The sequence below is a fragment of the Homo sapiens genome, chromosome 4 (genome assembly GCF_000001405.40).
Source record: "Homo sapiens chromosome 4, GRCh38.p14 Primary Assembly".
Classification (NCBI taxonomy): domain Eukaryota; kingdom Metazoa; phylum Chordata; class Mammalia; order Primates; family Hominidae; genus Homo; species Homo sapiens.
Window position 1 is genome coordinate 48,361,362 of NC_000004.12, and position 25,430 is coordinate 48,386,791.

The 25,430-nt window shown below is 38.4% G+C and overlaps 1 protein-coding gene across 3 annotated transcripts in view; it reads left to right on the plus strand.

The window, feature by feature from the left end:
* SLAIN2 (SLAIN motif family member 2) overlaps positions 1 to 25,430 on the plus strand; it is an 84,673-nt gene that overhangs the window by 19,833 nt on the left and 39,410 nt on the right. For all 3 annotated transcript variants that reach the window (XM_005248121.4, NM_020846.2, XM_047416023.1), the window contains exons 2-6: positions 8,488 to 8,636; positions 16,535 to 16,699; positions 18,329 to 18,487; positions 21,207 to 21,566; positions 22,286 to 22,423. In XM_005248121.4, the coding sequence (XP_005248178.1) occupies positions 8,488 to 8,636; positions 16,535 to 16,699; positions 18,329 to 18,487; positions 21,207 to 21,566; positions 22,286 to 22,423 (971 nt within the window). The remainder of the gene's footprint in view (positions 1 to 8,487; positions 8,637 to 16,534; positions 16,700 to 18,328; positions 18,488 to 21,206; positions 21,567 to 22,285; positions 22,424 to 25,430) is intronic.

Below are 25,430 nucleotides of genomic sequence, written 5' to 3' on the forward strand. Positions count from 1 at the left end.
GCTATTTAAATATGTGTGGTGGAGGAAGGTGAGAAATGAAGCTAAAGAAGAACTACAACAGTTAAATCATTGGTTAGGTCTCTAGAGCTGTGGGGATCATTTTTAGAAAAAAACTCCATCTTAAGGGCAGAGGGAAACTGGCACAGAATTTTTAGCAAAAGAATACTAATAAAGTCAGATTTGTGTTTTAGAAAACACTGGCTGCAGTGTACAAGATGAATTTGAAGAGCAGGCAAGTCCAGAGATTTGCAAAATTAAAAAGATTTTTTTTTTCCAAAATTGTTTTATCCGTTCTTTGGCCTTTGCATTTTTATATAAATTTTAGGATCAGCTTGTCAATTTCTGCTAAAAATGCCTGCTGAGGTTTTCTAGGGATATGTTGATTCTAAAGGTCAGTTTGATGGAGTTAACATCTTGTCAGTCTTATGTTCAGATCTATAAACATGGTGTATTTTTTCATATGTCTTCTTTTAATTTCTCTCAGCAGTGTTTTGTAGTTTGCAGTGTACATCTTGCATTTCATGTGTTAAATTTATTCCTGAGTATTTTATTCCTTTTGATGCTGTTGTAAATGAAATTGTTATATCTATTTCATATTCAGGTCATTTATTGATAGTGTTTAGAAATACAATTTTTTGCTTATTGATCTTGTGTCTTGTGACCTTGCAGAACACATTTATTATTTCTTTTTAAGAGTTTTATAATGGATTTTCTATATGCAGGATCATGTCTGCGATTAAACATGTTTTACTTCTTTCTTTTCAATCAGGATGCCTTTAGTTTTTTTTTTTCTTGCCTTATTGTACTGTATATTATTTAATAAAAGTATGAGAGTGTACATCTTGATCTTGTTCCTAGTCTTAGGAGAAACTATTTGGTCTTTTACCATTAAGTCTGTTTTTGTGAAAGAGTTTGTGTAGGATTGGTATTGGCATTATTTCCTTAATATTTGATAGAATTAATATGTGAAAACATGTGGACTTGAACTTTTCTTTCTGGGAAGGTTTTTAAATTTATTTATTTCTCTCTCTCTCTCTGTCTCTGTCTCCCTTTCTCTCTCTCTTTTTTTTTTTTTTGGACAGAGTCTTGTTCTGTCGCCCAGGGTGGAGTGCAGTGGCTCAGTCTTGGGTCACTACAACCTCTGACTCCTAGGTTCAAGCGATTCTCCTGCCTCAGCCTCCCAAGTAGCTGGGGCTACAGGCACGTGCTACCATGCCCGGCTACATTTTTTTTTTTTTTAGTAGAAACAGGGTTTCACCGTGTTAGCCAGGATGGTCTCGATCTACTGACCTTGTGATCCGCCCACCTCAGCCTCCCAAAGTGCTGGGATTATAGGTGTGAGCCACCATGCCAGGCTGGTTTTTAAATTTCTTTTTTTTTTTTTTATTCTTTTTTTTTTTTTTTTAAATTTATTTTTTTATTGATAATTCTTGGGTGTTTCTCACAGAGGGGGATTTGGCAGGGTCATGGGACAATAGTGGAGGGAAGGTCAGCAGATAAACAAGTGAACAAAGGTCTCTGGTTTTCCTAGGCAGAGGACCCTGCGGCCTTCCGCAGTGTTTGTGTCCCTGATTACTTGAGATTAGGGATTGGTGATGACTCTTAACGAGCATGCTGCCTTCAAGCATCTGTTTAACAAAGCACATCTTGCACCGCCCTTAATCCATTTAACCCTGAGTGGACACAGCACATGTTTCAGAGAGCACAGGGTTGGGGGTAAGGTCACAGATCAACAGGATCCCAAGGCAGAGGAATTTTTCTTAGTGCAGAATAAAATGAAAAGTCTCCCATGTCTACTTCTTTCTACACAGACACGGCAACCATCCGATTTCTCAATCTTTTCCCCACCTTTCCCGCCTTTCTATTCCACAAAGCCGCCATTGTCATCCTGGCCCGTTCTCAATGAGCTGTTGGGCACACCTCCCAGACGGGGTGGTGGCCGGGCAGAGGGGCTCCTCACTTCCCAGTAGGGGCGGCCGGGCAGAGGCGCCCCTCACCTCCCGGACGGGGCGGCTGGCCGGGCGGGGGGGCTGACCCCCCCCCACCTCCCTCCCGGACGGGGCGGCTGGCCGGGCGGGGGGCTGACACCCCCACCTACCTCCCGGACGGGGCGGCTGGCCGGACAGAGGGGCTCCTCACTTCCCAGTAGGGGCGGCCGGGCAGAGGCGCCCCTCACCTCCCAGACGGGGCGGCTGGCCGGGCGGAGGGCTGAACCCCCCACCTCCCTCCCGGACAGGGCGGCTGGCCGGGCGGGGGGCTGACCCCCCCACCTCCCTCCCGGACGGGGCGGCTGGCCGGGCAGAGGGGCTCCTCACTTCCCAGTAGGGGCGGCCGGGCAGAGGCGCCCCTCACCTCCCAGACGGGGCGGCTGGCCAGGCGGGGGGCTGACCCCCCCCACCTCCCTCCCGGACGGGGCGGCTGGCCGGGTGGGGGGGCTGACCCCCGCATCTCCCTCCCGGACGGGGTGGCTGGCCGGGCTGAGGGGCTCCTTACTTCCCAGTAGGGGCGGCCGGGCAGAGGCGCCCCTCACCTCCCGGACGGCACGGCTGGCCAGGCGGGGGGCTGACCCCCCCACCTCCCTCCCGGACGGGGCGGCTGGCCGGGCAGGGGGCTGACCCCCCCCACCTCCCTCCCGGACGGGGTGGCTGCTGGGCGGAGACGCTCCTCACTTCCCAGATGGGGTGGCTGCCGGGCGGAGAGGCTCCTCACTTCTCAGACGGGGCAGCTGCCGGGCGGAGGGGCTCCTCACTTCTCAGACGGGGTGGTTGCCAGGCAGAGGGTCTCCTCACTTCTCAGACGGGGCGGCCGGGCAGAGACGCTCCTCACCTCCCAGACGGGGTCTCGGCCGGGCAGAGGCGCTCCTCACATCCCAGATGGGGCGGCGGGGCAGAGGCGCTCCCCACATCTCAGACGATGGGCGGCGGGGCAGAGACGCTCCTCACTTCCTAGATGTGATGGCGGCTGGGAAGAGGCGCTCCTCACTTCCTAGATGGGATGGCGGCCGGGTGGAGACGCTCCTCACTTTCCAGACTGGGCAGCCAGGCAGAGGGGCTCCTCACATCCCAGACGATGGGCGGCCAGGCAGAGACACTCCTCACTTCCCAGACGGGGTGGCGGCCGGGCAGAGGCTGCAATCTCGGCACTTTGGGAGGCCAAGGCAGGCGGCTGGGAGGTGTAGGTTGTAGCGAGCCGAGATCACGCCACTGCACTCCAGCCTGGGCACCATTGAGCACTGAGTGAACGAGACTCCGTCTGCAATCCCGGCACCTCGGGAGGCCGAGGTTGGCGGATCACTCGCGGTTAGGGGCTGGAGATCGGCCCGGCCAACACAGCGAAACCCTGTCTCCACCAAAACCAGTCAGGCGTGGCGGCGCGTGCCTGCAATCGCAGGCACTCCGCAGGCTGAGGCAGGAGAATCAGGCAGGGAGGTTGCAGTGTGCCGAGATGGCAGCAGTACAGTCCAGCTTCGGCTCCGCATGAGAGGGAGACCGTGGGGAGACGGAGACGGGAGAGGGAGGGGGAGGGGGAGGGGGAGGGAGAGGGAGAGCTGGTTTTTAAATTTCTAATTCAGTCTCTTTTATAAGTCTATTCAGGTTCTCTTTCTTGAGTTTTTAGAGTTTTTTTGGTAATTTGTTTCCTAGGAATTAATCTGTTTTATCTATTTTATTAGCATTAGGTTGTTCATAATATTCGCTTATATTCCTTTTAATCACAGTAGTGTTTGTGGTGATGTCCTCTCTTTTGTTTTTGGTAAGTTATATTTTCTTTTTTCCTAGGTCAGTCTCACTTAAAAATTTATCCTTTTTCTGTCTTTAAAAAAAAATTGGCCTGGTGCAGTGGCTCATGCCTGTAATCCCAGTACTTTGGGAGGCTGAGGCAGACGAATCACTTGAAGTCAGGAGTTTGTGACCAGCCTGGCCAACATGGTGAAACTCCGTCTCTACTAAAAATACAAAAAACTAGTTGGGCGTGGTGGCGGGCACCTGTAATCCTAGCTACTCGGGAGGCTGAGGGAGAACAGCTTGAACCTGGGAAGTGGAGGTTGCAGTGAGCCGAGATCGCAACAGAGCAAGACTCCATCTCAAAAAAAAAAAAAAAAAAAAAGCACTTTTTCCCCCTATACTTTTCTGTTTTCTATTTCACTGATTTCTACTTTAATCTTTATAATTTCCTTCTGGCTACTTTGGGTTTATTTATTTATTTATTTTTATTTTTTTGAGATGGAATCTCGCTCTGTTGCCCAGGGTGGAGTGCAGTGGCGGGATCTTGGCTCACTGCAACCTCCACCTCCCGGGTTCAAACAATTCTGCCTGCCTCAGTCTCCCGAGTAGCTGGGATTACAGGTGCCTGCCACCACACTCCGCTAATTTTTGTATTTTTTGGTAGAGATGGGGTTTTGCCACGTTGGCCAGGCTGATCTTGAACTCCTGACCTCAGGTGATCCACCAGCCTCGGCCTCCCAAAGTACTGGGATTACAGGCGTGAGCCACCGCACCCAGCCTACTTTGGGTTTAATTTGCTCTTGTTCTAATTTTTCAAGCTTAGATTATTGATTTTAGACCTCTTTTCTTTCCTAATGTAAGTGTTTGAAATTACAAATTTTTCTCTAAGCACTTTTTTAGCGTCATCACATAATATTGGTATGTTGTATTTTTGTTTTTATTCAGTTCACAGTAGTTTCTGATTTCCCTTGTGATACATTGTTTGACCTTTGTTATTTGTAAGTATGTTGTTTAATTTCCAAATATTTGGAATTTACTACATTGCTTTCTGTTGCTGATTTCTAATTTAATTCCACTGTGGTCAGAAACCATACATTAAATAATTTCAGTTTTTAAAAATTCAGTAAGACTTGTTTTATGTCCTAGCCCATGGTCTGTCCCAGAGAATGTTCCATGTGCAGTTAAAAAGAGTGTGTTTTCTGTTACTGTTGGATGGAGTGTCCCATAAATGGTTAAGTAAAGTTGGTTGATAATGTTGCTGAAGTCTTCTGTATTTTTTCTGATTGTCCATGTAGTTCTTTTTTCAGTTATTAAGAGTCGGCTATTGAAACCCCAAAACAAAATTTCTGAATTGTTTTTCTTTTCAGTTCTATTACTGTTGTTAGGTATGTTTAAATTTATAATGTTATATCTTCCTTTTAGTTTCCAGTAATTTTTTTGTTTCTAGTAATCTTTTATATCTTAAAGTCTATTGTCTAATAATTGCCACTCCAGTTTTTGTAGTTACTTTTTCATGGTCTTATTTTTTCCCATTCTTTTACTTTCAACCTATTTATGAATTTGAATCTAAGATGTTTCTTTTGTAGACAACGTTTCGTTGTGTCTTATTTTTTAATCCAGTCTATCTGCATTTGAATAGGATGTCCCAGTTCCTTGTTTTGCCACGTTGGAGGCTGAGCTCCCCATTGGGCCTCCATGACTTAATTTTAGTAGTAATAGGATAATGAAGTAATGTTTGTTTTTTTAAGCAAGTAAAAACTTGTTAAATCTCAACCTGTTTTAGGTTGCATTAACTGTAAATAAACTTGCTGTGTTCATCAGAATTGTGTCCCTCTTGATTAAATCATATTCTATGATTTAAGAAATTCTAAAGTGTCAAAATGAAAAAAATGTCTTTAGTGGGAAAAATATTTTGAACAAGTCCATGTGTTTGTAAGAAATGAGCAAAGAATATGATATGTATTGTTATTACAAATAGGTTTATTTGTAATGAGAGTTTACTTAGGATTTCCTTTTAAATTGAGAGACTTAAACAACTCTGTCCTGCTAAAGGTGAATTCAGTTATGTGGTACAGCTCAGCTCATGTGTCCTCTGGCAGGTTTAGAAGTATGTACTTTGAAACCTCAACCAAAGGTTACCTGACCAAGGAATTTTGTGCCAATATCATACGGGCCAACGCCCTTTGTTTCTAGACTTCAGGTAGTAATACATAGGGACACTGAAATAAGAGGATAGAGTGATATAGAAAGTTGGTGTACCCAGGGCTTACTGAATCATTGTCTCCCTTTTCATCACTATGAATAAGTGTGGACAAGTTGCTTTAATCTGCTAATGGAAGGAAGGAGCATTCTGTATTCCCAATTAAGGGAGCAAGTACAGGAATGGGAGAAAAAAATAGTTTATAAAGGTAGGCTCAGCAAGTCTTGGTGACAGATTATTGATAAGGGTAGAAAATAAGATGGAGCAATCCTAAATTACAAATTTTTAGTCTTTATAACTGAAAGAATTATAATGCTATTAACAGGAAAGAAATGAGGGATTTGGGGGTGGGGGGGCAGTTGTGATGTTTTAGTTGGTTTTGAATTATTGTTGTATTCATTTAGTTTGTAGTAGTTTCTGTATTTTTGAAGATGCCAAAGCACTTTGCAACTTTTTAAAAACAGCTTTATCAAGATATAATTTATATACCATAAAATTTATTCATAGCTTATAATCAACATACCATAAAAGTCGTTATATGTTAGTGAATTTAGTGTATTTACAATGATCAAACCATTACCATAATTATCACTATCATATAATTTTAGAACATCTATATCACCCTAAAAAGAAACCTCATTCCCATTCCTACCTCCAGCCCTAGGCAACCACAAATCTCTTTTCTGCTCCATATGCTTTTCTAGACATTTCATATAAATGGATTCTTATGTGTCAGTATGCATTCACTGAACGTAGTGTTTTTGAGGCTTTTTTTTTTTTTGACAGTGTTGCTCTGTTGCCCAGGCTGGACTGCAGTGGTGTGATTGTGATCTTGGCTCACTGCAACCTCCACCTCCCAGGTTCAAGCAGTTCTTGTGCCTCAGCCTCCCGAGTAGCTGGAATTACGGGTGCCCGCCACCACACCTGGCTAATTTTTTGTATTTTTAGTAGAGATGGGGTTTGTATTTTTAGTAGAGATGTTGGCCAGGCTGGTCTTGAACTCCTGACCTCAGGTGATCCACCTGCCTTGGCCTCCCAAAGTGCTGGGATTACAGGCATAAGCCACTGCACCCGGCCCTGCTTTGCACTTTTTAAAAAGGAGTTTCATAGCCAGCAGTAGGGTAACTATGTATGTAGTACATGTGAGCCATGTGGGTAAATTATGTAAAACCAGTCAGTGTAGGAAAAATATATATATTGAAAGAGTAGTGATAATATCATAAAATGGTTTTATTATTGTTATTATTCATCTATAGAGGTTTACCTTGCTAAACATTTGCTGACATAGGATATCAGTATGTAATATTTACCACAATTTTTAAAGTGTAATTGCTGAGGTAGAGATTTTTCTTAAGGAATCTTTGCAGTATTTAAATTGGAAAGAGAATGAACCCCATTGATTTCATTTTGAATTGATAGTTATTCCATAAATTGAGATTTTATTTCACTATTTTTGTCCAAATGAATTTGGATTGTAGACTAAAGAAATGGTCATCTACCCCATTATTTAGCCTTGATGATCTTGATCAAAACTAAATAATGCATATGAGAGACAGACCTAAGTTATAGATGGGGAAAAGAGACAAGTGATGGAAAAGGTACTGTTGCCACTAAAAGTAGTTTGTCTATTGTAGTTCTGTAGATACATCTTTATTTAAATGTTTACAGTGAAACAACACTTCATGTTATTACACTAACTTGATTAATGTAAATGAGATTATTGACTCCTTATTGAAACCTTTCACTAGATATACAGTATCGAAGCCTAATTTTGTTTGCTTCATAAATTCCATTTAAAGTGTCTTATTTGAAAATCACCCTGGTTAGAAATCAATAGCTATTTGCATTTTTCATATGGAGTGACACTTGAAATAAATTAATAGTAACTGACATAATCTGGATTAATCTGAGAAACATGAAGTAGAAAATTTATGTACACACTTCCTTATCTTCTGCTCAACTTTTCCTTTCTGTATACTTTCCCTGTTAGCTTATAAAATACTGTCTCTTGGTCCTTTTCTGAAACTGAAGCAATTTAGTAATTGATTCACATTTAGTTATTTAGGGTTAAAGTATTGCTTTTCTCCAACACATTGTCGTTTGAAAAGAGGACTACAAATTGGATACTGCTTAACTAAAAGGAATGAATCACTAATGGTAGATGTTTGTGTATGTCGTGGGAAGGGAAATAGGTGGAGAGCAAAGAATTTAGCTCCTTCTTCTGCTTCCTAAGTAGATTTAATAATCTGGCTATATTAGGGAGTTAGTCAAGTAGTGTTGAAAACAGAATAAACTGTTGGAAATACAGGTATTTTCTCATAGTCTTAGTAAAACACCTACTTTAGGAATACCTCATTTGGGTTCACTTAGTACTTGGAATTTGGATTTATATTGATTGTTTTACTATAATTTTCTTCCTGTGCAGTAAGTAAATGTGGGTGATTTAAAATATACTCCATGACTTTTACTCCCTTCTCCCCTATTTAAATCGATCCAAAAGGATCCCTGTTTTATATAACCTTGTGCTTAATAAGGAATTTTCTGTTTTTTGTTGTCTTCTTCTAGGCTGTATTCATCACCAAAGAAAAAACTTACACCAATGCAGAAATCGGTTAGTCCATTAGTTTGGTGCAGGCAAGTTTTGGATTACCCAAGTCCTGATGTTGAGTGTGCTAAAAAATCTCTTATCCACAAACTTGATCAAACTATGTCAGGTATGTCTATAATTTTGCTTGTAAATTCATCTCTTTGCTTTCTTTAGTCAAAAACCATAAATATTGAGCATTGTGTTTTTAGGAAGCAATTCTTTGGAGCATTTTTCAAATCTCATTGTTCATATCATCATGAGAGTTTTTCCCATGTTCACATAACCCTGTTCTATCATTTACTTAATAGCTTTTTAAAAAAATCTTGTTTTTATTTAGCCTCATCCTAAAGAATAATATCCATGAAATAATGAATTTCGTATGATAAGCTTTTTTCTAATACAAGTTAAATAACTATTAAAATATAAAATGTCTGGTATTGTATAAAATCCTCTCACATTCCACTCTTTGGGGAAACTGGTGTGGTAGAAAGATACAAGTGGAGAGCTACAGAGACCTTGTTCTCACTCTAGCCCTTAATTGCTCTGTCACTGCATTATTTGACTTGTGTGAGCTCAGTTGTCTCATAAGAATGATGAACCTTGAAAGGTAATTTTCAGGGTTAAGTGTTATGTGAAAGAGCCTAGCATGTTTTCTGGCTAACAGTAAGTGCTGAGTAAATGTATTCATTTCCCTTGTTATGTAAAACTACTTGACATTTTAGGTTTAAATTGCTTTTATGCTCTTTTGTTTAATAGCATTCACAAAGCTGACAAAATGTGTCTGTGGCTGTTTATAACATTTAATGTAGCATGCCAGTGTGGGCAGAAATGTAGGAAAAATATTGTTCATTTCTTCTTGTATTTCTCTCAGTCTGTTTTATGAAATATTCAGATAGTAAAAGATGGATGCATGATTAGTTTTGTTGTTGTTTTTCTGGTTTTTATTTACTTGGCAGCCATGTACTTAAAATTACTTATTTTGGCTTTATTATAGAAAACAGTATGTGCTTTGTGGTTAGAGTTTAAGCTGAAAATGGTCACAGGAAGCAGAGGGGACAGTTAAAGTGGCATACATAAAATGAAGTTTATTTGGTGATAAGGGGTAGTGGTTGTTACATGCAAATAACTTACGGGATGTTATTACAGAGGTTCTGAATCTGGGTCAGTTTTGACACTAAAGTATTACTTTTCCTCTATGAAAAGAAGCCCTTTTGTTTTTGTTTTTTGTTTTTTGTTTTGTTTTTTTTTTTTTTGATATGGAGTCTCACTCTGTTGCCCAGGCTGGAGTGCAGTGGTGTGATCTTGGCTCACTGCAGCCTCAGCCTCCCGAGTAGCTGGGACTAAGGTGCCCACCACCACTCCTGGCTAATTTTTGTATTTTTTGTAGAGATGGGATTTTACCGTGTTAGCCAGGCTGGTCTTGAACTCCCGACCTCAGGTGATCTGCCCGCCTCAGCCTCCCAATCTGCTGGGATTACAGGCGTGAGCCACCATGCCTGGCCAAAGAAGCACTTTTGAAAAAGCAATAGCCTTTATGTGATTTTTTAAATGTTTAGTATGACTATCAGCTTATTTGTTTGAATTATACCCTGAAGCTTGATGTAAGTTATATTCATAAGAGATTATTAGAAATATGTAGACAAGCTAGTAGACCATTTTAAATAGCTGGACATTTTCTGACCAATTTCTGGCATTAATGTACTTAATGCCACAGAACATTAAGTATGGAAATTTTCTGACTATATATTGAGAATATTCCTATAGAAGGAGCATGATTGAAAGAAAAAAGAATATTCCTAGAGGGCTAGGTAGAGTGGCTCACACCTGTAATCCCAGCTGATTGGGAGGATCACTTGAGTCCAGGAGTTCAGAAGCAGCCTAGGCAACATAGTGAGACCCCACCTCTACAAAAAATAAAAAAATAAAAATAGCCAGGCATGGTGTGCGCCTGTGGTCCCAGCTAGTCGGGAGACTGGGGCAGGAGGATCCCTTGAGCCCAGGAAGTTGTTGCAGTGAGCCATGTTTGCACCACCGCACTCCGGCTTGGGTGACAGAGCAAGACCCTGTTGCCAAAACAAAACAAAACAAACAAAAAGTATATACACACACACACACACACGCGCGCACACACACACACACACATATACATATATACACATATATATACATATACATATATACATATATATATATACACACACACACATATATATCCCTAGAAACTGTTTTTCAGTACCCCACCTTAGAAATAATATAATTTACAATTTAATTAGGAATTTTCATCATTGAACAGCATGTATTGAGAATCTGCTATAATAGGCATTGTTCTCAACACTGAAGTTATGGCAGTGAATATAATAGACCAAAAAATGGCTTACTTCTTGGAGCTTATATTCTTATAAGAGGAGTCAGACAGTAAACAAATAAATAAAACTCTGGCAAACTTTTTCTGCAAAAAGCCAGATAATAAACAATTTTAGTCTTTGTTGCCTGTAAGATCTCTGTTGCAGTTACTCAACTTTGCTCTTGTAGCATGCAAGCAGCCATAGACAATACATAAATGAGTGGGCATGGCTGTGTTCCAGTAAAACTACTTAATGTAACAGGTAGTGGACTAGATTTGGCCTGAAGGCTATATTTTACCAACCCCTGGTTTAAAACGTCCTAAGGAGTATGAATTATTAGCAATTGGTGACTAGCAACCTGGACTTGGGTAAAAGTAAAGCTGCTGCACCTCAAAAATAGCAATTTTGAGTGAGTGGCTCTTTGCTTTATTGCAAGGAGGATATTAGGAGTGTGTAAGAGAGGCAGTTACTCTTGAACCATAACTAGGTGTAATTAAGTACTGCATCTGTTTAACATTGTTTAAATTTTATAGCTGTATTCATAGAACAATAGCTACAGCTATAAATACAATGTATATTTGAAATATATATTTAAAATCTTTTAAGGAAAAATTTTGGCTTTTACAAGTTTGAACTTTGTAGTTGTAAATCCCCCATTTCCCAAGGAGATTGTTTTTTTTTTAAATACACTTTTTTGGTAAGGCAGAGCTTCCTAGGAACTTAAGTGCTGTATTGCAGCAGAACAGTTATTACTCCTTCACACTCAGGTTCGCTGCAGCGCACTATCACTCGTTCCTAAAATTTTCTTCACTTGTTTTTTTTGACAGTGTATTGTCTTTTTAACCCTCATTTACCCTCCCTGCTCTTTTCTTTTCAGTCTTCATTGAAGATTCTTCCTTTTCTACCCATCTTTTAAAAATTGTCATAAAATTATATAATACAAAATTATCCATTTTCACCCTTTAAAAATGTACAGTCCTGTGGCATTAAGTACATTCACGTTACTGTGCAACTGTCACTATCATATCCAGGTGAAAAGAGCTTTTAATCATCCTATACTAAACTTTTTCATCATCCCATACTGAAATTCTGTACCCGTGTTAACCAATAACTTCCCATTCCCTTTGCTTCCTCTCTGCCTGTTTTAGGTTTAGGTTGCCCCAGATCTCTCTTTTGCCTCATGTCTCTCCCTGTTTTGGTGTTTTCATCTGTTTATATGGTGTCTAGTATCACCTCTGTTGAATCACATTCATTCATGCATATATTCAAATAATTTTTAATGCAAACCTGTTAAGTATCAGGCTTTGGGAAAAGGGTGGAGGTGGGGTACATTATAAAGAAAAATGAACACTGTACTGGCACTTAATGGAGTTTATCATCTAGTAGGGGAAACATACTACAAATAATTTTTTTAGTGGTATATATATATAATAAAGGAATAAAGGTATAGTGCTTTGAGAAATAGGAATTTTCCCTTAGGAAATGATGTTTGACCTGAAACCTTAAGATTCAGAACAACTTAAGTGTGCTAAGAAAGAGATGTGGCCGGGCGCAGTGGCTTACACCTGTAATCCCAGCACTTTGGGAGGCCAAGGTGGGCGGATCACCTGAGGTTGGGAGTTCGAGACCAGCCTGACCAACATGGAGAAACCCTGTCTCTACTAAAAATACAAAATTAATGGTGTGGTGGCACATGCCTGTAATCCCAGCTACTCGGGAGGCTGAGGCAGGAGAATCGCTTAAACCCCGGTGGTGGAGGTTGTGGTGAGCCAAGATCGTGCCATTGCTCTCCAGCCTGGGCAGCAAGAGTGAAACTCCATCTCAGAAAAAGGAGATGGAGTAGAGCATTCCAGATAAAAAGAAAGGCATGTGCAAAGGCTCCATGTGGGATGAAGCATGACATATACGAAGAAGTTGCTGGAGAAGAGTAAGGAAAGGAGAGATGTGAGATAAGGCCAGAAAGATACATAGGAACCAGACTCTGTAAAACCTTATAGGCCATGTTAAAGATTGTGGACTTTATTCTTTTTCTTTTTTTGGAGACGGAGTCTTGCTCTGTTGCCCAGGCTGGAGTGCAGTGGTGCGATCTTGGCTCACTGCAACCTCTGCCTCCCGGGTTCAAGCGATTCTTCTGCCTTAGCCTCCTGAGTAGCTGGGATTACAGGTGCCTGCCACCAGACCCAGCTAATTTTTTTTGTATTTTTACTAGAGACGAGGTTTCACGATGTTGGCCAGGCTGGTTTTGAACTCCTGAGCTCAAGTGATCCACCTGCCTTGGCCTCCCAAAGTGCTAGGATTAAAGGTGTGAGCCACTGCAACTGGCACCCGGCCAATTGTGGACTTTTAAGAGCACTAGAAAAATATCGAAGGGTTTTCTGCAAGGGTGTAGTGTATGTGGACAGGAAGGACGTCATCAATTTTATTTTGGAAAGGTTATTCTAGTAGTAGTATGGAAAGTAGGTTGGAAAGGGGCAAGAGTGAATGTAGGATGCCTTTGAAGAGGGTTGATAATGATAGCTAGGCCATGTATGCTGAATGGAAAGCATAGTAGATATGGTAATAAAAGGGAATGAACCAAATATGAGGAAATGGTGGACAAGAATATCAGTAGTGATTTCTAAGTTGCCAGCTTCTGCGACAAGATGAATATTGGGATCATTCTGGAAGAGGGACCCTTGGAAGAGAATTAGATGTTAGTGCGAAGATCATGAGTTGATCTTATATGTTGACTTAGATACATTTGCCATACCCAAGGGGAGAGACATTAAATGGGTGGTGTATATAGGTCTGAAGCTCAGAGGAAAACTTAAGACTAGAAATTTAAATAATGAGGAATGTTTAGCATATAGATAATAATTGATGTATGATTGAGATTCCTTAGGAGAAAGAATATGGCATAGACTGAGAAGATAAAAAGGCTTAGAACTTGGAATGCTAGTGATTAATAACTAAGTAAAAGAGAATAAACTCCAGAGGAGATGGAGGAGGAGGAAAAAGGTAGAATTTAGCAACTGTATTTCTGCACAGGTTGATAGTTCCAAGATCATGCCACATACTGCATACTAAATATATATAAAATATTGTTTTATCTTGCATCTTGTCTCATGGTGAATATGTACAAAACTACATGGTCCAAATTACTGCACTGTCTAACTAAACAGAAAACATATGTTCCTCCTCCCCAAAACCACTACTACCAGTAGGCAAACCAGACATTTCATTCAGCTGATTTCTTTTCTTTAACAATCCTTTCCAGTTTTTAATATCTATCCTTTTTTTCTTTTTTTTCCTTTTTTCTAGTCACCGTGTACTACCTAGTTCAGTCTAACTTATTAAACATCAAGATTTCTGTCATTTTTTCTCCTTACACTGATCAGATCATATCATATGCTTGATCAAAATCACAGATAGTTTTATCACTGCTACTAAATAGGCTTAGTGGCCTACTAAATAGGTTTAGAAACCTACTAACTAGGTTTCAGACTTCTGAGCGTAGTGTCTCAGGCCTTCCATGACCTGGCTCCAGCTGGTTTTATCTGTTTTGTCCCTGCCCTGTGCTTTATCACACTTACCTGAGCATGCTCTGCATTTCCGAGACACTGCTTTTGTTCATCTTATAAATACTGAGTAAAGCACATACTTTCCCCATCCTGTCAAGTTACTACTCATCCTCTCAAGACTGCTTCAATGCCTCTCCTTCCAAAAAGCCTTACCCAGTTTCTCTCAGTTGTAATGAATTACTCCTAACTCTTCCTTTCCATTGCCCTTTGCACCTTTATGATAGTACTCATTTCATTTTGCCTTGCAATGTTTGTTGACTCTGCCTGTGGTACTTGGCTGCAAGCCTCTTAAGAGAGAGAGCACCATATCCTGTTTCTTGTATATATTCTATAAAGTGCTCTTGCCAGTGCTCATAAATATTGAATAAGCTGTGGATATTAGAATATGAAGGAAGGGGCTGGGCACGGTGACTCACGCCTGTAATCCTAGCACTTTGGGAGGCCAAGGCAGGCGGATCATCTGAGCTCAGGATTTCGAAACCAGCCTGGGAGACATGGCAAAACCTTGTCTCTACTAAAAATACAAAAAATTAGCCAGGCGTGGTGGCACATGCCTGTATTCCCAGCTATTTGGGAGGCTGAGGCACAAGAATCGTTTGAGCCCAAGAGGCAGAAGTTACAGTGAGCCGAAATCACGCCACTGCACTCCAGCCTGGGTGACAGCAAAACTTTGTCTCAGAGAAAAAAAAAAAAAAAAAAGATTGAAGGAAGAAATAGTATTTTAAGTGTTAATTTTTTAAATATATGCATTTGATATCTTAGTCCTACTGTTGTACTATTTATTTAATTTTACATGCATAGCACATTTTTTTTTTCTTTTTTTGACAGAAGTATTCAGGTTGACTTTTTTTTTTTTTTTTTTTTGAGACGGAGTCTCGCTCTGTCACCCAGGCTGGAGTGCAGTGGCTCGATATCGGCTCACTGCAAGCCCCGCCTCCCGGGTTCACGCCATTCTCCTGCCTCAGCCTCTCCGAGTAGCTGGGACTACAGGCGCCCGCCACCACACCTGGCTAATTTTTTGTATTTTTTAGTAGAGACGGGGTTTCACCGTGGTCTCGAGCTCCTGACCTCGTGATCCGCCCGCCTCGGCCTCCCAAAGTGCTGGGATTACAAGCGTGAGCCACCGCGCCCGGCCGACTTTTTTTTTTTTTTTTTTTTTAAGGATTTCCCATGTCTTGACCTTAAACTGGCTTAATAATAGTCGGTATTGCTTTAAAAAAAAAATCCAAACTTTGAAAAGGCGATTTAAACAACTTATTTCATAGCTTTTAGAAAAAGTAATAGGTTGAGTGCAGTGTCTCACCCCTGTAATCCCAGCACTTTAGGAGGCCAAGATAGGAGGATCACTTGACACCAGGAGTTTGAGACCAGTCTGGGCAACATGGTGAGACCACATCTCTACAAAAAAATATATATATATTTTTTCGAGACGAGTCTCACTCTGTCGCCCAGGCTGGAGTGCAGTGGCACGATCTCTGCTCACTGCAACCTCTGCCTCCCGGGTTCAAGTGATTTTCCTGCCTCAGCCTCCCAAGTAGCATGCACCACCATGCCTGGCTAATTTTTTTTTTTTTTTTTTTTTAAGTAGAGACAGGGTTTCACCATGTTGGCCAAGCTGGTCTCGAACTCCTGACCTCAAGTGATCAGCCCACCTCAGCCTCCCAAAGTGCTGGGATTACAGGCATGAGCCACCGTGCCTGGCCCAAAGAATATTTTTTAAAATAAAAAGTAATACATTTGTTACAGAAAAATGAGAAAACATAAGTATGCTTTTATATTCCATTTATTTTTAAAGGTCACTCAGGATTGATACAGCAAGTATCAAAGAATAAACTTTCCAACATAGTAGAAGTGAATTAAGTGGCCAATAATCTGTTTAGGAGTTACTCTTCCTGCATTATTTTTGTTGTTTGATGTGGCTACTGTTTTATTTGCATACACAGTTTAAGATAATAGAAACAATTTGTTGGGATTATTATATTTTTTCCCCCACTACCATAAGAATATTTCTTCATTTAAATTGAGATAATGATTTAGTTTTCTAATAGGAAAACTTCAGAAATGAAACGTTAACTTTTTCTCAGTTGTTAAATTTGATTTTCCCCTTCTCATTAATGCAGCTCTCAAGAGGCAGAATTTATATAATAATCCTTTCAACTCTATGAGTTACACCAGTCCTTACAGTCCAAATGCCAGTAGCCCATACAGCAGTGGCTTCAATTCTCCATCCTCAACCCCAGTGCGACCTCCTATAGTCAAACAGCTTATACTTCCTGGAAATTCAGGTAAGGAGAAAATGATATGGAGCTATTAAGGAATGTTTTTTAGCTTACTGCACTGTATCAGAAAATAACATTCATCTGCAGTTCGAGTTCATTTTATTTATGAAACTTTTAACTGGTTAAAGAAAATATCGTTGAGGAGCAACTTAGCACCAGGTACTATATTAGGCACCAGGGGTATAAACATAAGCCAGTGTGCTAAATACATAAAATTTTCTTTAGCAAGTACCTAAAAGTTTGTAAGTCTGGCTTAATTAAATGGGTTACAAATGTGATTCTTTTAATCAATAGATCCTTATTGAACAGCCTACTTGGGTTGTAAAAACTACAGAGTTAAAACCTCTTTATAGGAATTTTAATAAACTTTGATACTGCAGCTAAATAATAGTATGAGGTTAGAGGTGAATGTACCAGCAGAGTGAGGGGGCAGTAAATGATGTGGGAAAGCCAGATTGCTATAAACCAGGGAAAGAATGTTCTGCTCTGAGACTGTTATTGTGTAGCTTACTCTTCACGAATTCACAATTCACCCATTTATTTACTCTTATTGTCGCTGAAGCTGTTGTTATGACTGATTATTATAACTTCCTTAAAAATTAAGGTTAACCACCTCAAATTTTGACCTGTGCACTCCCTAGTCTAATGATCCTATTCTTTGTGTAGTATATAGGTTGTTACTTGCTACTTACTTCACCTATGATGATACCATGTTAAAAAGTTTAAGCTGCAATATTTGTTTAAAATAGGTAATTTCGTTCAGGCATTATTTGAGCCTGACCTTGTAGTACTTTTCCTATCATGTGCACTCTGCTCTTTTTTCATTAATAGTATAAAGATTAATTATTTTGTACTCTTCTTGCTCTCCTTACATGCTTTTCATGTTGGAGCTGACTGTTATGGTGAAGAATTCTGGAAAACAAGTGTTTCAGATAAATCTGTAATAGAAATATTAGTGACAGTGTTGGGATTTCATTATTTAGTAAAAGTTGACGATCTGATGAAAATATTTCATTAGAAACAAGTTAGACTTTTTTGGATGTGTGTATTCTTTATTCCTCTGGCCTGTTTTCTGTCTTCCTTTTGGTTTAGAATGATAAAGTACTTTAAACATGGCATAATGTAGGAGAAACAAGCCTCATGGTCTTTGTTCCTAAAATCTCTAAGGAATCTAATTTTATTCAAATTATAGTTTTCTCATTTAGAAAAATGAGGGAAAAGATGATGGTGTTTGTCAATGACTGTGAATTCGGGAGAAGAAAACACTACATCATAAACTCATCTATTTATAGAGCAGTTTCATTGGCTATCTTGTGCAAGTTGAAATCCTTAACATATACTTATTGAACACCAATTACTTGCCAGGCACTGTGCTGAAAGCTGAATTGTTACATAAGAGAATAGATAAGTTATACTTAGATGAAAATATGTTTATGCCATAGCATATAAAGGAGTCTCAGTAGCCCTCATTTTTCTTAATGAGGTCAATTTCTAATTTCAGGGAATTTTTTAAGCAGAAAAGGCAGAACAAGAATGAATTAAATCAAAGGGTATAATATCAAGTTAGTTGCAGTAGGCATTTATTCAATAGTTGCTTTACCAGAGTTTGAATTTTTTTCTTTTTTTTTTTTTAAGGTAACTTGAAAAGCTCAGACAGAAATCCTCCACTCAGTCCTCAGTCCTCTATAGATAGTGAGTTAAGTGCTTCAGAATTAGATGAAGATTCAATTGGATCCAATTATAAGCTAAATGATGTAACTGATGTACAGATTCTAGCCCGGATGCAGGAAGAAAGTAAGTATTCTAATTGTTAAGAGTTGAGGTTTTTTACTATTGCATAATTTTGTTGTATATTAAATATGTCTTAAAGTATTGTGGGGGTAGTAATGTAGTGAAAGTAGAAATGTTGCAGTGGACATTTCAGAGACTTAGTCAACATATGTACATGTTTATTCATCAACTTGTTTTCAGAGTCCATTTTTACATAGAGCAGTTATGCTGTGTGAGGGACAAAGAACAGCATTTATGCTGCTCTGCTTCTATGACTGGTTTTTATACCCTGCATGTTACTCTGCACTAGCACTTAACTCTTGTAATTGTTAGTCTATTACCCTTTGTGTTTTAGTGTAAACCAGCGTTTCTCAATTTTTTTCTTTTCGGTTGCTCCCCTAAGGAGCCTTGTTAAAAACTTCTTTTCCTTTTCTCCCACACTCCCCATGAAATCTTAATACCACAAGATATACTCTATATATGTTTAAGTACTATGAGGGCCATATACAATTATGACATCTAGGAATTTTTTCACACCCCAAGAACCAGTTTTTGCCCTCTTGGGAATGAATATCTCCTCACTTGAGAATACATGGTGTAAACTGTAAAAAAGACCTTTAGGAGAACATTGGAATTGTGACATTAAATTAAATGAAGCATGTGATGGTGCTTTGCAGAGTGAATGATGAAAACTTTTTAGGCCACAGATACCTTTGAGAATCCTTTTATCATCAAAGTGTACATATGCACAAAATTTTTAATACTTTTTAAAGGGTTCATGGCTACTTGCCCTGGTACTCATCTGAAGGTACTTATTCTTGCCAGTGCATTTCATTAGAAGATGCCATCTGCATAACTATGAAGTAAGAAATCTCTCTAAAGCAATCTCTTCAACCTTTACAATGAAAAGAATCCTTGAAATACATATGTTGACAAGTCTTGACAGGTGGCTGAGGTTAATGGAGCATTGCTACGGTTTAGTTCAAAAACTTTCTGTTGTCTGTGTATGTAATAGGTTCTCTTTAAATATGTAGTAGGCTTTATCAAGCTGTAGCATTTATTAAGAAACTAAAGTGTTTCTTATTCTGCTGATTCACTTCCCATTTCCATATAGCTTCCCCTAGGAAGATAGAAGGACTTAGTGCTTGCTTTATTTAGCCCTGCAACCTAATAGCAGAGTACTCTTTTTCTTCTGTAATTTTAATTAACTCCTCAGTGAGACTGTGGTATTGTCAGCTGGTTAGGGGGTGGTTATTGTTGTGGATGTGAAAAAATAAAGAATGCTGCCTAACTCTGTACTTTAGAACAAGTTCTCTCATTTCTTTGAACCCTGGCTTTTTAGATCCTAGTATTTTGTTAGAAGCTCAACCAGCTCTTTGCTTTTGGTTTTGTATTGTGTTTTGGTAACAATAGAAATTTTAGTCTTACTTTAATAATTTTTTCTAAGCCATCCACATGCATGAATATTTATTTTCCTGATGAGTAAAAATAGTAATAAAAATATATGTGATACTTCTTGAAAACTACAGCTTTTTTTTTGTCTTAGAGATGATTTTCCTTTTTACAACATTGTGTTTTGTAATGATTAGAAATGTAGAACTACAGATTTGGGCAGTCACCTGGTCAAGGTCATTCGTTTTTAAGATGAGAAATGCAAGCTCCTATAGTGATCCAACAGTGCTCTTTTCATTGGTCTGTTGTCTTTTGTTAGGTGACTTTAGTGCCATGTTGGCTATAACTAGACACTAAGTAACTTGTTGGTTACTATTTTGGTTCCCCGACTAACTGAAGGGCTAAGTGGACTCCAGGAATTTATAGTTTTAAAGATACCCTAGGGTGATTCTCATCCACTGGTTTGATGAACCGTGTTGATAGCACTTTCTGTGTGTGAATACATGACTTTAGGATTTGAATACCACTTTATAACAGATCTTTTTGACTGGAGTGCTAATAGTTAGCAGGTTGTGCTCAGAATATTACCTAAATTCTATACGTTTGCATTGCAGTTTGTTTCTTCATTGACTATGTTACGTATCAACTTTTTTTTCTGTTGTTCTAGAAGCATCTGTACTATTTGAAGGGCTCCCAAGGTTGCTTGGGTGTTTTCGAAGGTATCAAGCTATATAGGAGAATTCTTTGAAAATTCTTACTTGAAGACTTAGAATTTAAGCTTGAAAACAAGCTTAAAACAATAAAAATGGAAGTCTCTTGGGTAGTGAAGCAATCAAGATTTCGTTTGTGCCCAAGTACTGAATTCCTATAAGTGGGTTAGAAGTTTCTTTGGTACTTTATCATCTTCATGAGTAAGATTATTTCAGTAATTAAGTATCCAAGAAGTTTTATTTACTCACATACGTATTCTTTTTCCACTGGTTGGATGGTAATTGTTTCCCCTCAATATTCCTTTAATATTAGTCTCAAATTTGGATTACTGTCTTTAGGGGTAGAAATATTTTTAAATTTATGATTCTACCATGTGAGACAGATTTCAGCTTTAAGAAGAAATCTGGAAATTGGGCAGTGGTTTATGGGATTTCATTCAATTTAAAAATAACCTTCAGATGTGATTTATGCCTCCTTATATGGACATATAAGCCTATATAAGTCTAAAAGCAGAAAGGGAGTTTTCTTTTACACTTTACACCCTCTTTGAATTTTTCAGTGATAATCTTTTACTTTAAATTTTAAAATTATTTAAATGTTTAAAAATATTGTTTAAATAAATAACATTCATTGTTGCCAGGTCTCCGGCAAGAATATGCAGCCACCACGTCTCGGCGCAGTTCTGGTTCATCTTGCAATTCTACAAGACGGGGTACTTTTAGTGATCAGGAACTTGATGCACAAAGTTTAGATGATGAAGATGACAATATGCATCATGCAGTATACCCTGCTGTTAACAGGTTTTCACCATCACCACGCAATTCACCTCGACCGTCACCTAAGCAGTCACCCAGAAATTCACCTCGTTCACGATCTCCTGCTCGGGGAATAGAATATAGTAGAGTGTCCCCACAGCCTATGATTAGCCGCTTACAGCAACCTCGCCTTTCACTTCAAGGCCATCCCACAGATTTACAGACAAGCAATGTTAAAAATGAAGGTAAAATAGCAGATTTTACTAATAATTAGACAGTTTCTGCTAGCCTGTGTAACATAGCAAGACCCCGTCTCTAGGAAAAAAATTTTCAAAATTAGCTGGGCATGGTGGTGCACATCTATAGTCCTAGTGACTTGAGAGGCTGAGGCTGGAGGATTGGTTGAGCCCAGGAGTTCAAAGCTACAGTGAGCTGTGATCACACCATTACACTCCAGTCTGGGCAACAGAGCAGGATCCTGTTTTCAAAAAAAAAAAAAAAAAAAAAGTTTCTAGATTAAAAAAAGAGAAAAAGTGTCCTTTATATTTCACTATGAAAGTAATACAATTTTTGCTAAGTTTTTGTATTTCAGATAAGTAAATCAAGAGTGTAGTCAGGTTTACTATTTTATTAATAGTGAATCATTACAAAAATAAAAGAGAAAGTGAATTTCATTTTACTTGGTTATGTTGTTTTTGCTTTATTGTTTTATGAAGTTACCTGTATTTAGATTTTGCTTTAAATATAAAATTTGTGGTTATCTTTAAGTGTTCTCTTATTCTACCCACTTAACAGATCCTAGATCGAGTTGTTTGTTTTTTTTAATAAGACAAGTCCTTTGTATTTTCTCATCTAAAATAAACAGAATGTTTGATAAACAATTTGATTTTTGAATGCTAGTTAATATTTTAATTTTCTCCATCTGAAAGAATATGATTTTTTTAAAATTAAAATTCTGTTGCAGAAAAACTAAGACGCAGTCTTCCAAACCTGTCCCGAACATCTAATACACAAGTTGACTCAGTGAAAAGCAGCAGAAGTGACTCAAATTTTCAAGTGCCAAACGGAGGAATACCTCGTATGCAACCTCAGGCTTCAGCCAGTAAGTATCCTTCTTATGCTTTCATGTATCAGTTATTTAAAGAGAAGTGAAAATTTTAGATATTTGTTTTATGCTGAAAAACCGTTTTTTATGCTGAAAAACCGTTTTAAACCATAGCTATAGTAAAATTTAGTGTTTATTAGTTGCTGGATGATAATCAAAGTTATATTACAATTTAAAATTTTCTATGTAGGATACTTGATTCTGCCAGTACATCTGTCTATACAAAACTCTGGTCTCTCCAGAATTTTAAAATAAGCAAAATGTAACTATTAAAAAAGTAGGTGTAGCTTTTGCTTATAGATACTAGAATTAGAAATAAAAACCAGTAGAGCATCCAAAAATATATGTCCCTTAGTACGTAAATTTTCTTTAATAACCTCCACTTTAAAAATACCTAAAAGTTTGATTATTACATAATTTTAGAATCATACTCAAAATAATCCATTGTTCAAACCTGCAATATATTAAATCTGTTATCAAAGTTGAATTGTTGAAGTTCTTTTCTTTCCAAAACAAAAGTATACCAGGAGAACTCTTGGATGATCTCATTTTATTTCTGCATCTGTTGAGATAAGATTTCTGGTTTTGATTTGATTTTCTGTGTTTGTTAAGGCTATTTTAATGAAAAAATACAATATTGAATCAATATGTATGCCAAATTAATTCATAGTCCTAATCCTACTTATAGATTAAAATTTGAGATAAATTGCCAGAAACCATCACTTTTTAAGAATTGATCAGGACTTGTCTCTTTAAATTATCTTTCAGAAAACAAATTCTTAGAGTTAAAGCTAAACTCTTAAACAGAGAAGGTGAATTTTAGAAGTATAGTAGAAAGAACACATGTAGATTATAATTTTTAATAAGTTTTGGTCATTGGGTGGTTACTAACCCATGAATGTGACAGTATTTGTATTCAACTATTATTTGTAATAGATACTTGAGTTTTTATTTTGTGGCAAGTAGTATGTTAAATCAATACAGGCATTTCTACTATAGCACAAAATATGCACTCCTTAAAAACCTCACATTCTGCAGTATTACACAATAAAAATGATAGGATGATGAGGAGTGGAGGGAATAGTCCTGGAACAGACCACTGAAAACCCAAGCAACTTTCTTAGAAAGCATTAATAAAAACAATAATGATACTAGCACAGTTAAATTCATGTTAAATCTTTATTAAATACTCCAGGAGATATAGAACTTCATTTTTAAAGAAAGATTTGAAGGTAATGTGATGGAAAGGAAAGGTTGAGACTGTTGAATTAAGGAAACATATGCAGCATAGACGAAGATCAGAGAGAATCATACAGTAAGATCATCTAGGACAAAATAGCCAAACTGAGCCAAGAAGTAGTGATGTTGGAGTAAATGGGCATTGTGTATATTAATGTACAAGTTGATTTTAAAGGAATTTCAAAAAATTACTTTTTAGCTAGGATAGATTTGAGCGTGTAGTCAAAACGGTTTTAAATAAATGATTACAGTTATTTTTATGATCTTATGAACGCTCAGTATTCATCCCATGTGTTTCACAGCTCACATCAGTCCCGTATATGAGCTCTGAGACACAAAGGGTGCATATTCACTGGGGTCCTTGTAGGGACACAAGGGATGCTTATTCACTCAGATCCTTGTAGGTACACAATGGATGCATATTGTCTCAGATCCTTGTGGCATATTACTATCAGTGGTTGAAGTGGTAGCTGTGTTATATTCTTTCATTTTCTCAAGGCTATGAAGAAGTGATACAAACGAGTTTGTTGACTGTTCACTTATAACTTGTTTATTAAGCAGTTAAAAATTTGAAGATATTTAACCCTTTTTTCATTTTCATCTTTTTTTTTCTTTTTTTTTTGATTGAGTCAGGGTTTCACTCTGTCACCAGGCTGGAGTGCAGTGGCACAATCATGGCTCACTGCGGCCTCACCTTCCTGGGCTCAAGTGATCCTCCTGCGTAGCTGGGACCACAGGCGTGCACCACCATGCCCAGCTAATTTAATTTCTTCACACTTTTCCTTGGCCCTGTTGTGTTTAGCTGACTTCATATACTTCATGTTAAGCTGTTGTTACTTAGTGGCTCAAAAATCAACAGGCTAGCAGGAGTTTGAGACCAGCCTGAGCAACACAAGACCTCGTCTCTAAAAAAATGTTTTTTTTTTTTTAATTACCCAGGCATGATGGTCACATGCCTATAGTCCCAGCTACTTAAGAGGCTGAGGTGGGAGGATTGCTTGAGCCCAGGAGTTTGAAGCTGCTGTGAGCCATGATCATGCTGCTGCACTCCAGTCTATTGAAAGAAAAAAAAAAAAAAAAAAAGCTACGAAAAAACTATATTTGAATCAAAATGACTTCTGTGATATATTGACAAATTTTCCTTATTTACAAGGTGCATATGATATTACTTATATAACAAATTTATATTATACTGTATTTAGATGCATAATCTTATTTAATCCTTAGAACAATTCTATGAAGGAGGTACGATTATTACCACATTTTACAGATTAGAAATTGAAGCTTTGAATGGCCAAATAACCTATCTCTGATTATACAGCTTATAAGCGGCAAGTTAGAATTTAAACCCATGTTGATTCATCTTGAGCACTGGATCTCAATAGGTGAGAGTCCAAATTCACCTAGTGAGAGTTGTCACATCTATGGTTTAGACCATGATATAAAACTTATCCAGAAATATAATTTCCATTTTTCCTAAGATTTAAAATTCTAACGTTTAAAGCACTGTAGAAAATTGGTACCCAGAGATTTGTAAACCACATTTATTCAGCTAGATATATGCTAAAACCTGTTTTTATAGCAAATTACATTTTAAACTTAGTACTCCAAGTCTTATTGTGAACTCTGTAACTGAGAGTGCCATTATAATACTCACTGTAGTACTAATAAATAGTATAGAAAACAGGAATTCACAAAACACTTGAAAGGAAGGATAGAATTTGAGCTTTATCTTTGAAATCGTGAGTGATACAGATTAATTTGA